This window comes from Homo sapiens, chromosome 7, assembly GCF_000001405.40.
Source record: "Homo sapiens chromosome 7, GRCh38.p14 Primary Assembly".
Classification (NCBI taxonomy): Eukaryota; Metazoa; Chordata; class Mammalia; order Primates; family Hominidae; genus Homo; species Homo sapiens.
Genome location: NC_000007.14, coordinates 23,359,374 through 23,376,825, shown reverse-complemented (window position 1 = coordinate 23,376,825; position 17,452 = coordinate 23,359,374). Strand labels below are relative to the sequence as shown.

Sequence of the window (17,452 nt, the reverse complement as noted above, 5' to 3'; positions counted from 1 at the left end):
CGCTGATCTTGGCTCATTGCAGCCTCCGCCTTCTGGGCCAAGCCAACCTCCTGCCTCAGCCTGTCGTGTAGCTGGGACTACAGGCATGCACCACCATTCCCAGGTAATTTTTTGTATTTTTTGTAGAGATGGGGTCTTGCCATGTTGCCCAAAATGGTCTTGAATTGCTGGACTCAAGCGATCCGCCTGCCTCGGGCCTCCCAAAGTGTTGGGATTATAGGTGTGAGCCACCGTGCCCAGCCTCAAGGCTTTTTCTTTCTTTCTTTCTTTTTTTTTTTTTTTTTTCTTTGGGAGATGGAGCCTTACTCTGTTGCCCAGGCTAAAGTGCAGTGGTGTGATCTTGGCTCACTGCAAGTTTTGCTTTCCCGGTTCAAGCCATTCTCCTGCCTCAGCCACCCGAGTAGCTGGGATTACAGGTGCCCGCCACCATGCCCGGCTAATTTTTGTATTTTTAGTAGAGATAGGGTCTCCAAACTCCGGACCTCAGGTGATCCGCCTGCCTTGGCCTCTCAAAGTGCTGGGATTACAGGCGTGAGCCACCGCGCCTGGCCTCAAGGCTTTTTTTAATTGCTAAATTTATTTTGAGAAATATCTCAAGTAACACTCCTCCCAGCAGAGTTTAAGACTTCTTCCAGTGATCCCTTGTTAGTGCTGTATGTTGATGTTAGCATCTGTTAGCTGTGATTCCTTTGCCCTTTTGCAAGTGGAGCTGCTGTGTTTTCCCAAAATTATTTGTGTATTTTAAAGTCAGTTTTACCAAATCATGTGTTTTCATGTAGTGTGGTATTCTTAACTGCACCTATTGATGGGATGTTGAGAACTGCTCATGCTAAATTCAATTCTATAGCATAAGTCGGTAGTGAGAGATTGAGTTTTCTTTTTTCCCTTTATTGAACTAGTTTAGGAATTTTATTATAAGGCCCCATAGAGCCAGAAGGATAACTGCTGCACACCTGAAGGACTAATTCTTGTAGGAAACATTCCTATCATTATTGACTTTGGAATCTACCTCTTCTCCTCCTCCAGTTGCTTTTATTCTTACTTTTAAACTAAGCTTTAAATAGGGGTAGTGGGTAAAATGCCAGCATCTGGGATGGTCTGCTACTGCTTTTGGAGACCATACAATCGTGGACATTTATCACCTCATTTAGAAAATTCACTTCTTATTCTGTGATTTTACCAGAATTATGTTTGGAGTTGTAATCAGGCTTTGTTCTGAACTGCTGTCTTTCCCTTTTTCTCTAGTAATTTATAGCTGTTTGGAGTGGTATTCCTGCCTTTCTGCTAAAGGAGTAAGCTAGTTACTAAAACTGGTGTTTGCTTCTAGGATTCTCTAGCCTTTGCATTTTGTTTTAGCGGCGAAAAGCCTAGAAGGGGGCCTGGGCAGTCAGTGCTGTCCTAGTTCTTTGCTTGACTCCCCCAGACTGTGTGGCATGTTGGGGGACCCTATGCCTGAAGGGGGTGGAATGAAAGAAAGATAGCAGATCAATAGCTGGGACTCCCACCTATTGAATTCCATGTGGCAGTTCCAAAGGTTTGCATTTACCAACACGGATGGATCACCAAGATGACAGATTGGGGTGGTGGGGGAGGGTAGCAAGATAAGGAATGTCATACTTAAGCAAGTTACTTAAAATCGACCTCAGTTTATTCATATATGAAATGGGGATAATTGCTACATTCTGAGGCATAAATAAGATGGATTATATAAAATGTTTAAAACAGTATTTGACACTCTAGTGTGAAAATTTAAAACTCAACAAATATTGCTCTTTGGGTATATATGTGAATATATGAGCATATACACATACCTTTTTAAAAATTGAGAAATTCACATAATATAAAATTGTTGCGGGAAGTCAGGGACCCTGAACGGGGGGACCGGCTGAAGCCTTGGCAGAAGAACATAAACTGTGAAGATTTCATGGACATTTATCACGGAACCTGCCGACATGTGATGTCTCCCCCAGACACCTAGCTTTAAAATTTCTCTCTTTTGTACTCTGTCCCTTTATTTCTCAGACCGGCCGACACTTAGGGAATATAGAAAAGAACCTATGTGAAATATCGGGGGTGAATTTCCCCCGATATCAAATCATTTTCTTTTTATACTTTTACTTATTTATCATCATCATCATCGTCACTATTGGAGACAGAGTCTCACTCTGTCACCCAGGGTGGAGTGCAGTGGCGTCATCATAGCTCACTGCATCCTCCTAACTCTGGGTTCAAGCAGTCCTACCACCCCAGCCTCCCGAGTAGCTGGGAGTACAGGCACTCACCACCACATCTGGCTAATTATTTTTATTTTTGTAGAGATGGGGTCTTTCCTATGTTGCCCAGGCTGGTCTCAAACTCTTGGCCTCAATTGATCCCTTGCTTCAAGTGATAACTTGGCCTCCCAAAGAGCTGGGATTATGGATTTGAGCCACCATGCCCAGCCTCTACTATACTATTTTTATATAAGGGACTTGAGCATCTGTGAATTTTGGTATCCAAGGTAGGGGGTTGCTGAAACCAATCCCTCACAGATACCGAGGGATGACTGTTTATATGTACCATGTTTTGTTTTATCCATTCATTAGTCAGAGGATGCTTGGGTTGCTTTCACCTTTCAATTATTGGCTATTTTGAATAATGCTCCCATGAACATGGGTGTAGAAGTACTTCTTTGAGTCCCTGTGTTCAGTTCTTTTGGACGTATACTCGGTTAGTGCATTTGTGTTGCTGTAAAGGAATACCTGAGGCTGGGTACCTTGTAAAGAAAATAGGTTTATTTGGCTCACAGTTCCTCAGGCTATACCAGCATGGCTCCAGCATCTGCTCAGCTTCTGGCAAGGCCCAGAAAGCATTTACTCATGGTGAAAGGTAGAGGGGAGTGGGCATGTCACATGGCATGAGAGGGAGCAAGAGAGAAAAGGAAGTTCCAGCCTCTTTTAAAACAACCAGATCTCATGTGAGCTCACAGAGCAATAAATCACTTGTTACCTCAAGGATGGCACCAAGCCATTTATGAAGGGTCTGCCCCCATGACCCTAACACCTCCCACCTGGCCCCATCCCCAACACTGGGGATCGCATTTCAGCATGAGATTCGAAGAAGACACAATGTTCAAACCATATCAATACCCAGAAGTGGAATTGCTGGATCATATGGTAGGTCTATTTTTAATTTTTTTTGAGGAACTGCTGTACTGTTTTTCATAGCAGCTGCACCATTTTATCCAGCAATGTATGAGGGTTTTGATTTTTCCACATCTGTGTCAACACTCATTATTTTCCTTTGTTTTTCTTTTTATGATGCCCCTTGAATCATATTTTCCTTCTTTTTAAAAAATTATGGCCATTCTAATGGAGGTGAAGTGGTATCTCCTTGTGGTTTTGATTTACATTTCCCTAATGACTAATGGTGCAGAGCGTCTTTTCGTGTGACACACACACTTCTAAAAACACCTGGAGAGACCCCACCAAAGCGACAGTGGTTTCTTCTAGGGGTTGGGGGAAGTCCCTGTTTTGAAAGCAGGTGGTTCAAAAACCACCTAACATTGAACTATTTTGAATGTTTTTATGAGCATTTCTGTGAGTAAAATGTAGCACAAGTTAATGCTGGCTAGTACCTTCTTCTGACTAAGATGTATAGAAGTATCGTATTTAGTACTTGGAACATGAGCAAGGGGATACATGGGAGTTAATAAAGCTCTTAACCTGCCTATGGACAGATTTGATTTTCTAGTGCAGGTAATGGCCGAGTAAGGATTGAACTGGTTTCCGTCGGTGTATTTATATTTTATTTAAATTGCATAGGGAAATGAGGCAACTTATTAGACCAAGTGATTAAGAGTATGGGCTCTGGAATCTGTGAGCTGGAGTTTGAATCATTTCTCCAGCATTTATCTGTCCAAGTTCTGACACTGTGAACTTTTCTGTGCTGCAGCTTGCCCATCTATAACATGGAATAATGTTGCCTCATGGGATTGTGTGGATTTGAGTTAAAGTAGATAAAGCATTTGGGACAATGCTGCTGCCAGAAAGCACTCAAATGTTAGCAGCCCTGATTCATGACTGAACGAAGGCTGGTGTGGTTGGAGAGAAGAGAATGGCCTTAAAGGATGAGTGGAACACGGCCTTCAGGGCACTTGTTAGGGATCTCTTAGAGTTTATAGTAGGGTGTGACTTGTTCTGCTCGGCTTTTAAAATCAGTCTAGTTCCGTATTATTCTAAGTGAAGTAACTCAGGAATGGAAAAACCAAACGTCGTATGCTCTCACTCATAAGTGGGAGTTAAGTTATGAGGATGTGAAGGCATAAGAATGATACAATGGACTTTGGGTACTCGGCGGAAAGGGTGGGAGGAGGGTGAGGTATAAAAGAGTACATGTTGGGTACAGTATACACTACCTGGGTGATGGGTGCACCAAAATCTCAGAAATCACCACTAAAGAACTTATTCACGTAAGCCAGACACAGTGGCTCACACCTGTAATCCCAGCACTTTGGGAGGCCAGGGGGGGCAGATCACGAGGTCAGGAGTTTGAGGCCAGCCTGGCCAACATAGTGAAACCCCATCTCTACTAAAAATACAAAAATCAGCCGGGGGTGGAGGCACGTGCCTGTAGTCCCAGCTACTTGGGAGGCTGAGGCAGAAGAATCGCTTGAACCCCGGGTGGCGGAGGTTGCGGTGAGCCAAGATCGTGCCACTGCACTCCAGCCTGGGTGACAGAGTGAGACTCCATCTCAAAAAAGAAAAAAAAAAAACTTATTCATGTAACCAAATACCACCTATTCTCCAAAAACCTATTGAAATAAAAAATAAATTAAAAATAAAAATCAGTCTAGCTCAGCATTGCCAAAGAGAAACATAACGTAAGCCCCTTAAGCTCTGGATTCGGTTTTTCCACTGTGACTTCAGTGTGGCTGGATTGTTGGACTGTTCTCTCTCAGAGAGTCCAGTGTGGCCGGATAACTTGGACTGTTCTCTCTCAGAGGCTCTGATCACATGACTCCTAGGAGTCCTAAAGCATCATCTCCTCCCCATGTTAGAGGATCTAACTTGTGAACATTGAAAGTGGCTAGAAAGTTGGGACGCTTTGCTCCGTGTGGTATGATGGAGGCTGAGCTTCCCTCTGGGGCTTTTCGATGATAAAGGGGATATGCAGCATGGTTTACAATCTTATTAATGGTCTGGTCTGTGGTGCTGGCTTTCTTAACTTGACAGTCATTTTCACACCAGTGTGAGGAATGGTTTGAGTGTTATCCAAGTAATTACGGTGCTAACATTTTAGAGAAATATACATTAAGGTGGATATTTCTTTATTTTGTTTTAGAATTATATATCAATATTTAACTGGAAATGATTATTTGGAACCTGCAATACAGATTGTTCTTCATTTTGTAATATAGCCATTTCTCACAAATAGATGTAAAAGAACAGTTCCTGAGATGATCTTGCCCATGACAGATAAGTAGTTCCTGTTTGTATAAACTGTGCTGAGCTGTTTGAAGGATGTTCCCTTCATCTCCATATCCCTAGCGCTAAGGGTGATTCTGTGGAGACTTTTTGCCTCTCTTGTTGCAATGAGTAGTAGTCAAGGTGACTCCTTTCTAGAAACCCCTCCCCAATGACTGACATTGGCTTTGGTGCTTGGAAGGGTGTGTGTGTGTGTGTGTGTGTGTTGGCAAGGTGTTTGTTGGGGCAAGTAAGCATTAAATATCCCGCTTTGCATTTTATTAATACTTTAATCTCACTGTGATTTTTGTAATGCTTGTTCCACTTCTATATCTTTTGTATAAATTCCTGACAAATACCTGTTTGCTTATATTATTATGGACTTTTAAAGACACCTAGAACTGGCTGGGCGCAGTGACTCACGCCTGTAATCCCAGCATTTTGGGAGGCCGAGGTGGGCACATCACTTGAGGTCAGGAGTTCGAGACCAGCCTGGCCAACATGGCAAAACTCTGTCTCTACTAAAAATACAAAAAATTAGCTGGGCGTGGTGGCACACGCCTGTAATCCCAGCTTCTCGGGAGGCTGAGGTGGTAGAATGGCTTGAGCCCAGGAAGTGGAGGTTGCAGTGAGCTGAGATCACACTGCTGCACACCAGCCTGGGTGACAGAGCAAGACTCTGTCTTAAAAAAAAAAAACAAAAAAACCAAAAAACCTAGAACTAGCTTCCTTTGCCCTGTAGAACAAAAAAATAGTGTGACTCCTTTTTAACCTTTTATTGTTCATCACAGATCCTGAGCAGTGAGTTCAAAGGTAAGACATGGCCCCTTCCCTTATGAGGTTTATGGGATAGTGCAGCTCTGTGTTAGAGCCACATTGAAGGAGTAACCCATTTCCAGAGAGATTTTCAGGATATATATTGGTACACAGACTATAATGCCCGACATTGTTGTTCCATCTTCTGAAACACATAAGGCAAATGTAACAGTCAAATAAAAAAGATTTGGAATCTAAGATCGTATGTATGATAAATTACCTGCCAGCTTAAGCATGGAAGTCAGTGTGACTCTGAAAACTAGATTACTGTGACACACCTGACAATCACATCACTATGGTTAATAATCACTAGTCTAGTGGGAAAATAAAGATCAGGAAAGAGATTATAAAGTGACATTGCTTTCATTTCCAAGAATGGGTATTAGGGAGATGACGAGAGAGGTACTTTACCCAGTTTTGAGGGCGTGACTAGAGCATAGGTGTGGGAAGTATGTTGGATATATGGAAGAGAGAAGTAGTACCAGGTAACTGACAACCTCTTATGCCATGTTGAAGTTTGGACAAGTTATACTGGCAATTTGAAACCACAGAAGGGTAGTAACTGCTGGCAGGAGGATATAGTCATGGAGTGTTAGGCTACAGGCAAGCATGCTAATCAGACTTGGTTCAGATAGCCCAGGAGTGATGGGACTTGAGCAGTGGGTATGCAGAATAAGCAGTCAGCAGAAGGCTTATCTGCAGAACATAAATTATCTACCTCACGCCCATAGTGGTATCAACTAAAATACAGCCAGTTTTGTGAGGGAGGTGGGGATATATCTGGTATGTGGCTGAGAAAATCTGATCACGTTGCAGGTCAAAGACAGTTTTTTAAACTGTCTTTATTGCAGTGATCTCTATATGTGTCAATAAACTAGGCTACTAGATTGAAGAGAAGCATGAAGAAACTTGTCATGATGGTGATAGTTTAGTGAGTGTATACATAATGTCAAAGTGAATCAAATTTCTTGCAGTTTATTCTGTATTTCAATGATACTGTTACTGAACCAAACTGGTTCTGTTTGTCCATGTGCAATGGAAAGCAAACACCAAAGCATAGGTTCTTTTGTAAAGAGAAAAGTTCGTGGTAAGACTGTCAAGCAAGGAGACAGTCAGGTTCAAATCTGTCTCCCCCAGCTGGGGGCTGGGACATATTTTATAGACAGAGGGTAATGAGGTATGATCTGATTGAATCTTACAATGATGTGATGCCAGGAGGTGTGATCTGACTGGATCATACCAGGAGGTGACACCAGGGCTCAATCTGATTGGATCATGGATCATGTCATGTGGTGTCCACTTCTTAATTTGGTCCTGTCTCGGTCCAGGCACTTAGGTTCTGCTTGTGGTTGCATGCGTGGTTCATCTGGACAGGCTCAGGTTACAGAACTTGCAACCTGGGGATCCATGGCAACTGAAGAACAAATCACCATTTTGTCACACAAAGCTGAACCAGACTAGGCCGGTTCTGTGGATGATGCTTGGCCAAAAGGCCAAGAAGTGATCAATAATACTTCAGAGTTTAAAAGGCAAAACTAGGCCATTACCTGGTAAAGTTGCTTTTAGTATTTTTTTAACAGCTTTATTGAGATATAATTCACATACTATGCAATTCACCATTTAAAGTGTACAATTATTTTTTTTTAAGTTTTTTTTTCTTTTTTTTTTGAGACAAAGTTTTGCTCTCGTGGCCCAGGCTGGAGTGCAATGGCGCCATCTCAGCTCACCACAACCTCTGCCTCCTGGGTTCAAGTGATTCTCCTGCCTCAGCGTCCCGAGTAGCTGGGATTACAGGCAAGCGCGACCACGCCCGGCTAATTTTGTATTTTTAGTAGGTGCGAGGTTTCTCCATGTTGGTCAGGCTGGTCTCAAACTCCTGACCTCAGGTGATCCGCCCGCTTTGGCCTTCCAAAGTGCTGGGATTACAGGTGTGAGCCACCGCGCCCGGCCTAGTATGTTAATAGATACGTGCAACCATCACCACATTTTTAGGACACCTTCATCACCTCAAAAAGAAACATTTAACTGTCACCCTCCACTTTCACTTTCCTCAGCCCATAGAAACCACTAATCTACTTTCTGTCTATCGTAGAGTTCCCTATTCTGGACATTTCATACAAACAAAAATCATATAATAAGTAGTTTTTTGTGACTGTTTTCATTTAGCATAATGCCTTCTTTTCTTTCTTTCTTTCTTTCTTTCTTTCTTTCTTTCTTTCTTTTTTTCTTTCTTTCTTTTCTTTCTCTCTCTCTTTCTCTCTTTCTGTCTTCGCTATACTAACAAGGTAACCATAATACTTTCAAGGTCTGTCTGTTGCAGCATGTATAAGTACCTCCCTTTTATGGTTGAATAATATTCCATTGTACAAATATACCACATTTTGTTTCCATTCATCAGTCAGTAAGCATTCATTCGGGTTGTTTCTACTTCAGACTATTATGAGTGATCTTAATTTTGTACCATTACATTCAGGAAGTGATAATCTTTGCATTTTTCATGTGATTCTTTCTGTACTGTTTATACATTTGAATGAACTTTGTTTTTTTGTTTTTTTTTGTTTTTAAATAGATGGAGTCTCTATCTGTTGCCCAGGCTGGAGTGCAGTGGTGCAATCTCAGCTCACTGCAACCTCTGCCTCCCGGGTTCAAGGATTCTTCTGCCTCAGCCTCCCGAGTAGCTGGGACTACAGGTGCGTGCCACCATGTCCAGCTAATTTTTGTATATTTAGTAGAGATGGGGTTTCACCATGTTGGCCCGGCTGGTCTCAAACTCCTGACCTCAAGTGATCCACCCACCTCGGCCACCCAAAGTGCTGGGATTACAGGCGTGAGCCACCGCGCCCAGCCGTGGATGAACTTTTTTTTTTTAAAAAGGCTGAACATTTGAGGGTTTCACGTCCTAAATACATAACGGGGGAATTCTAGAAAGACATTTTCTATGAGGCTTTACTTTGCATTTATACCCCTTCCTCCCTCCCCTGTCGTTGGAATTTAAACTTACCTAAGCATAGAGAAATGTTTCCTTTCTGGTTTAAGATTTTATTTAGGTATGGGAACTTGTGAAAGTGTTGGAAATATAGAGTGGAAAGCTTTTTGTTTTTTTTCGTGGTTTTTTTTTTGGCCTTTAAGACTGTTTAAAAGAAGTATTTGTGGCTGACATAGAATGATTAGCAGTACTGAGAGGGGACAAGAATCTAGGAGACAAAAACAGGTGCATAAGTAGCTTATGTGACAGGTAACAGGAACACTGTCTTATCTTCCTGTTTAATGCAGAATTAAGCAAAATGCGGCCGGACACTGTGGCTCACACTTATAATCCCAGCATTTGGGAAGGCTGAGGCAGGCAGATCACTTGAGCTCAGGAATTCGGGACTAGCCTGGCCAACATGGCAAAACTTTGTCTCTACTATAATACAAAAAGTAGCCAGGCGTGGTGGCACATGCATGTAATCCCAGCTACTCAGGAAGCTGAGGCACAAGAATGGCTTGAGCCTGGGAGGCGGAGGTTGCAGTGAGCCAAGATCATGTCACTGCACTCCAGTAAGACTCTGTCTTTAAAAAAAAAAAAAAAAAAAAAGCAAAATGTGAGAACTTACCAAGTGTAAGTTGTATTTATTCTTTGAGAGTTCAGTGGGCTGGAGTGGCATGATACCATTTGATAGGCCTTGATATAAAAGAGCATATTCAAATAATGGCCTGCCTTAAGATTGATGGGATTACTATAGTACAGTTCAAGTCATTTGGGGGTTGGAAATCCTTTTGAGATTTGGGAATCTTATTAGGCTATTGACAGCCCTTTCCCTATTCTGTTGTCATTACTTCCAAGCCTTGTACATGAAACTTTGAGTAAGACATCAAAGATCCACTGAAATCCATCTATGGGGCTATGTAAAATCTCCTAAGTTGTGTTGTTAAATTTTTTCCACAGCTAGGTACCAAGATTGATTCTGCACCTATTTCTTCTAAGGATTAGAGGGGTTTTTTTGCTTGTGGTTTTTTTTTTTTTTTCTTTTTTACTTTGTTTTAAAGCCATGCTTGTTGAAGTATTATTCACAGACAATAAAACTCACCATTTAAAAAAAGTGCACAGGATTGTAGTTTCTAGTTATCTTTCTAAAGACTTTACATGGCCAGGTGTGGTGGCTCACACCTGTAATCCCATCACTATGGGAGACCAAGGTGGGTGGATCACTTGAGGTCAGGAGTTCGAGACCAGCCTGGGCAACATGGTGAAACCCCGTCTCTACTAAAAATACGAAAATTAGCTGGGTGTAGTGGTGTGTGCCTGTAATCCCAGCTACTTGGGAGGCTGAGGCAGGAGAATCGCTTGAACCTGGGAGGCAGACGTTGCAGTGAGCCAAGATTGCACCATTGTACTCCAGCCTGGGTGATAGAGTGAGACTCTGTCTAAAAAAAAAAAAAGATTTACACGGAAGTTGACAACCAATAGCATTTATCTATTCTTAGGAATAGAATATTTAACTATACAGGCAATTTTGTTTTGAATATATGCAGTGAAAATTTTAATGTATATTTCTACTTGTGTGTGTGTGTGGTTTTATAACTTTAACATATTTGATGATCGGTGGCTAGTTCTCATCCTCATTGACTGACTATAGATTTTTGAAAGTGGTAACAGGTACATAGGTAATCAAAATATGGAGCTCGTTTGGTGAATCTTCATTTTCATTACATTTCCTGGACAGCTGTTCACAGATTGTGGTATAGGACGTTCCTTATTCCTTTGGCCCAGACAACTTTGTTGAGCCTCATGTCAGTGAACACATCTCCTTCATAACAAATTTCCAGATCTCTTTGAATGCCCAGGGGCAGTCTTCTTGAAGCCCACTCCATGGATACCCTTGTAAATGATGATGCATTCTCAGGTCATCACCTTGTTGGTGGCAGAGCGGCCCTTCTTGTCACAACCCTTCTTCGTAGAAGCCATTCTACCAGGCCTAACTTGGAAAGGAAGAGCATGAAAGGATTGTCCCCCGATTTTTTTTAAGTTAAAAAATTTACCTGTATCATTTGTATGTGTGTGTATATAAATATTTATCACTTTGGCACTGTAGCTTTTGAAGAACATTTGTTGCCTTGACATTATTGTAGGTTTAGTCGGTATTGTTTATAGATCACAGGTGTTTAACTTTTGTAGTGTTATCTCTAAGAGTAATAAAAGTTAAGGTGGCATAAGGTAATCTGTGTGGAGACTAATATACTTAATTACTGAACAAATTGCTTTTCAGAAGAATTAAGAAGGATGTTTATTTAATTAAACTTATTAAATTGGCAATTACTTCCTACTCCCTGAACCCCTCCTCTACCCCTGCCTCCATCCAAGTTGCTATAAAGCTCTACTATCAGTGTGGCTTTCATTTAAAAACTAAATTTTATTTTGAGACAGAATCTTGCTCTTTTGCCCAGGCTGGAGTGCAGTGGTGCAATCTCTGCTCACTGCCACCTCCACCTCCCAGGTTCAAGCAATTCTCCTGCCTCAGCCTCCTGGGTAGCTGGGATTACAGGCATGCGCCACCACTGCAGGCTAATGTTTGTATGTTTAGTAGGTATGGGGTTTCACCATGTTGGCCAGGCTGGTCTCAAACTCCTGACCTCTAGTGATCCACCTGCCTCGGCCTCCCAAAGTGCTGGATTACAGGAGTGAGCCACCGTGTCTGGTCCTAAAAGCTATATTTTAAATAACATATTAAACTGTCAACTACCTCCTAGTCCCTGAACCCCTCCGCTACCCCCACCTCCATCCAAGTTGCTGTAAAGCTCTATTATTATTAGTGTGGCTTTCATTTAAAAGCTAAATTTTAATGGTAGACATACTTTTCCTCCTGACTTCATTACTGAAGGTGGAATGAATTTGTTAGAATTCTGACTTAAGTATGAAGTAAAACATTTTTCGTATTGAAAAAATTTCATTTTTGTTTAGAAAATAAGTAGGTTGCCCACTGCACCGCCACCCCCCACCCCCCAACCTCCCGCTTTTTTTTTTTTTTTTTTTTTTTTGACACAAAGTCTCGCTCTGTTTCCCAGGCTGGAATGCAGTGGCGTGCTCTCAGCTCACTGCAATCTCCACCTCCCAGGTTCAAGTAATTCTCTTGCCTCGGCCTCCCAAGTAGCTGGTATTACAGGCACCCGCCACCACTCCCAGCTAATTTTGTTGTTTTTTCTTTTTTTTTTTAGATGGAGTCTTGCTCTGTTGCCCAGGCTAGACTGCAGTGGCACGATCTCAGCCCACTGCAACCTCCGCCTCCTGGGTTCAAGCAGTTCTCCTGCCTCAGCCTCCTGAGTAGCTGGGACTACAAGCGCGCACCACCGTGCCCAACTAATTTTTCTATTTTTAGTAGAGACGGGGCTTCACCATGTTGATGAGGCTGCTCTCGATCTCCTCACCTCGTGATCCACCTGCCTCGGCCTCCCAAAGTGCTGGGATTACAGGCGTGAGCCACCGCGCCCTGCGAATATTTTTGTATTTTTAATAGAGACAAGGTTTTGCCATGTTGGCCAGGCTGGTCTCGAACTCCTGACCTCAGGTGATACACCCGCCATGGCTTCCCAAAGTGCTGGGATTACAGGCATGAGCCACTGTGCCCGGCCACCCTTGTTTTTAATTTAAGGAATTATGTGTTGTATATTTTATCTTTGAATGGCAACGTGAGAGGTTTCTTAATTTTTGGCGTTTATAAAATGTGTCTGTGATCAACATCACATGGCAAATTCACCTATAAAACAGACAAGCACTTTTACAGAGTACTCTTCCTATAAGATATACCAGGATTTCCTCCTATGAAGTATTCACTTCACTCATGAAATATTTGAATGTCTTTTTGTGATTTAAGAATAGCTATAATCAGAGACAAAGATTAATGTGCTTCTGTGTGTATACCTCATGCAAAAGAAATTTACCAAATAAAAATTAAATTTACCTCATGCAAAGGAAATTTACCAAATAAAAATAAAGGGCATTTCACTCATAAATAGGTATTAACCTTATTTAAAAGAAAAACCAGGCCAGGTGCTGGGTCACGCCTGTAATCTCAGCACTTGGGGAGGCCCAGCTGGGATGATCCCTTGAATCTGGGAGTTTGAGACCAGCCTGGGCAACATACCGAGACCCTCATCTCTACGAAAAACTTAAAAATTAGCCAGGTGTGGTGGCATGCACCTGTAGTGCCAGCTACTCAGAAAGCTGGGGTGGGAGGGTTGCTTGAGCCCAGTGGTTGAGGCTACAGTGATCTATGGTCGTGCCACTGCACTCCAGCATAGGTGACAGTGAGACCCTGTCCCAAAACTAAAAACAGAAGCTCACCCCAGACAAACCTTGTTATATGTTTCAAACTGGAAACAGTAGACAAAAGCCTAAAATATACCACATAAGATAAACCTTCCTTTAGAAGAAATTGCTTAAGTTTAGTAGTAAATTACCATAAAATTTGTTTTCTATTTCCTGGCACCTGAAAAACATTTTCAAGGAACCGCCCTTTTAACTTTGCAGTTAGGCTAGGGCTAAGTGGCTCACGTCTGTAATCCTGGCACTTTGGGAGGCCAGGGCAGGAGGATCCCTTGAGCTCAGGAGTTTGAGACCAGCCTGGGCAACGTAGTAAGACCTCATCTCTACAAAAAATTTTAAAAATTAGCTGAGGGTGGCGGCGTGCACCTGTAGTGCCAGCTGCTTGGATGGCTGAGGTGAGAAGATCACTTAAACTCAGAAGGTTGAGGCTGCAGTGAGCTGTGATCATGCCACTGCACTCCAGCCTGGGTGACATAGCAAGACCCTGTCTCATAAATAAATAAATAAATAAATAAGAAAATTTGTAGTTAAACTGATGAGTAAGTAATTTGCTATAATTTACAGAAACTTACTTTGTTTTGCTATAGCTCTTAGAAGCTAAGGACACCTGAATTTGGTTTATATTGATGAGACGTACATCTGCAGTTGATATTATAATAAACTTACAGTTACTGTTCTAACAGCCTCTCCATTTGGATAACATGCATAGTATAATAATACAGCTACAGGAAAGATGGTAAAAACATAGACAGCTTCAAATTGTACATTTCCCAACCCCGTGTAGACTTAGAAATGTTTGCTTCATTTCACACTTTTGCTGTCTATGTATTTATGTTGGGCTTTAAATTCCACTCCAGGTAGAGTATGCACTGTGCTGTCTTCATTTTTCTAGCCTGCCTTGAGCAATCTGTTTTGTAAGAACCATTCGAGCTGTAAAAGAAGTCCTTTGGAAAAGAACATCTTATAGATAAAACTTTAGTTTTTTTTTTCTCTTTTTATTTTACTTTATTTTTTAGAGATGGGGGGTCTCACTATGTTGACCAGGCTGGTCTCGAACTCCTGGCCTCAAGCTATGCTCCCATCTTGGCCTCCCAAAGTACTAGGATTACAGGTGCGAGCCACCGCGCCCTGTTAAACTTTAGTTTGTAACTTGGTTCCTTGTCTAGTGACTTTGTTTACAAGGAGAAAGTATGATGATGTGTTTGTGTATGTATGAGAAATATATGCTCTTTCTCCTTCAGCCTCAGGAACCAGGCGGCTGTGGCTTTGCATACTTTTCTGAGCCAGTTCTTGGTTAGCCATAGGAAATGAGATTAATGTCAGGGATCTAGGAGAGGGCAGAAGAGACAAGTCTGAGTGTGATATTTGTGGTATCCATCCCTTAGTTCTGCAGTCCAAAGCCCCAGATAATTTTTTGGCTCTTTTCCATCACAATTACTTAGTGATTTTAAGACATATTCCTGCCCTTGATAATAACTTGGGAAACTCAAAATTTATAATTTTCTCTCCCCCTCCTGATAGGTGCTGGATAGTTTACTAGTCCAGTATGGAGTGGTGGAGAGCTGTGAGCAAGGTACATGTCTTCTGAATTGCTTTCAAATTTGTAAAAGGAAGGAAGTAGAAAGAAAACTAACTTTTATTCTCTTCGTTTTTCTCTTCCTCTAGTGAACACTGACTCGGAAACTGCAGTTGTAAATGTAACCTATTCCAGTAAGGACCAAGCTAGACAGTAAGCAGCTTGAAGCTTTTAATCTATATATAATAACTAAGTTAAGTACAGTAACATATTTTGCGGATTTCTCAACTGAGAAGGGCTGGTAGGTGGCAGAGAGAAACTTTATTTTACAAAATTTGACCCTGTAATCGTGCCTTTCTTTTTAAGTTTGAATGTCTAGTAAAAATCTACATTGGTTAAAGTTGTATTACATTTTCAATATATCTTTAATGCCAATAATAGAGTGGTCTAGTATGAAACTGAATCACACCCTATTTGCAGAAGCTCTGGGCCTTGGTATTGTTGCCAAATAACATAAAGTCTCTCCCCGTCTCCCCCTCTTGTATGACACATATATTATGGCTATTTTATCTGAAGCTGGTAAGTTGGATCATGTGTTAAACAACAGTGTTAAATGATAAGTCTTCTTACTCACTGGTTACCTGATTACCATTGTCATTTAGGAGCGTGCAGACATTGGATTAATGTAATTTGCTCTTAGATTTATGGAAAAAAATATATTCCAGTGCAGTAAACAGGCAATACTTGACAGATCAAACAGTCTCCCCTAGGAAAAGATAATTCTATAGGCTGGAAAAGATCTAATAAACTGAGCACTAGAGAGAGAAATGGGGGTCCCACAAATATGGCCTTTAACAGATCTGCCCAGAATATGAACATGAAAGAATGGCATACAAAGTGCTCAGTAGCACAGCACTGGGTGTTAGCTAACTATGGAAGCCTGAACTACCTACCTCCAGATACCATACTGGCAGGAGCAGGCTGACTGTCCTCTGTGTCAGAAAGGTGAAAGAAAAGACCACACTGGCTGACTCTGAGCCCTGAAGGGGAAAAGTAAAACGAGCTGCAAGAGTAGGAGCTCAGCTAGGTTACTATAGGCAGTACTCACTCAGGAGGGACTATGAAAGAAAAGACTGAGAAGAAGATGGAAATGTGTATAAGGTAAATGGAACTTTATTTGTAAAATCAATAACACTCACATGGTTCAAAATATAAAAGATTTGAAGATGCACATAGTACAAATCTTCCTCCCAGTATTATTCCCTAACTACCTTATCTCTTGGGAGATAACCATGTGGAAAACAAATGCTACATGTATGTATTCCTCCTTTTACACAAATGATACCATAACATTTGAATGTTTTGTGTATATAAATATATTTTTTATAGTTACATAGTATTTGATTGTACAGATATGGCATGACTTTGATTAATCGCAGTTTGGATATTTAGGTTGTTTCCAGTCTCTTGCAGTTATGAACAATATTGTAGTGAATCTGTTTTTGCATGTCGTGTGTATGTAAGCATGTATCCACATGATAAATTCCCAGAAGTAGAACTGCACTTTAAATTGTGTTGTAGAGCTGGAGCTAGTTTAAATTTCCATCAGCATTGTGGGGGAGTCTTTCTCCAATTCTCCCTAACACAGGACTTTATCAAACTTTGCCAATCTAGTATGTGAAAGTGATATCTTGTGTTTTTCACTTCTCCCATAAGTGAGACTGGAGGCTTTTAATATGTTTAAACACATTCTGTATTTCTTCTGTTGGTATCCTTTGTTCATGTAAAATTTTTTGGCAATTTATATAAGGTCTCGGACATTATAGAAATTGTGGTATGAGTCATAAAACAAATTTATTTTTCTTTCTCTTCTTTTTTTGACTAATTTTGTTCTTTAGTTGTATCATGTAAGAAGACCAGGAAAATTTTACCTTTTATACCCTCAGTAGAACTGGGGATAAAAGTGAGGGCAGGGAGAAAGCAGAGGCTCCATATTGTTTTAATTTTTATTTATTTTGAGGCTGGGTTATGAGACTGGCAGTCTTTTTTTTTGTATTTTTTTTGTAGACATGGGGTTTCACCATGTTGCCCAGGCTGGTCTTGAACTCGTGGGCTCAAGCGATCTGCCCATCTCAGCCTCCCAAAATGCTGGGATTACAGGCATGAGCCGCTGCACCCGGCCATGTTTTACTTTACAAAGATTTATACTGAATACTTGGTAGAGCCAAGTCCCTGTTGGAAAATATAGGATGATGTGATAAACCCAAGGATATTTGGAGATTGTCAGAGACCTGTTGTTGTGGCCTTATTTGAAAACTTAAATTAGCTAAAGGGAAACAAAATGCTTATTTAATAGTTAATTAGTTGAATGGG

At 41.3% G+C, this 17,452-nt stretch overlaps 1 protein-coding gene across 7 annotated transcripts in view; it reads left to right on the top strand.

Annotated features, from left to right (window-relative positions):
- IGF2BP3 (insulin like growth factor 2 mRNA binding protein 3) overlaps positions 1 to 17,452 on the top strand; it is a 160,283-nt gene that overhangs the window by 93,666 nt on the left and 49,165 nt on the right. For 6 of the 7 annotated variants that reach the window (NM_006547.3, XM_011515089.3, XM_047419782.1 and 3 more), the window contains 2 exons: positions 15,085 to 15,136; positions 15,229 to 15,292. The exons of the other annotated variant lie outside the window; for it this stretch is intronic. In NM_006547.3, coding sequence (NP_006538.2) covers positions 15,085 to 15,136; positions 15,229 to 15,292 — 116 coding nt within the window. The remainder of the gene's footprint in view (positions 1 to 15,084; positions 15,137 to 15,228; positions 15,293 to 17,452) is intronic. 7 annotated transcript variants of the gene reach the window in all.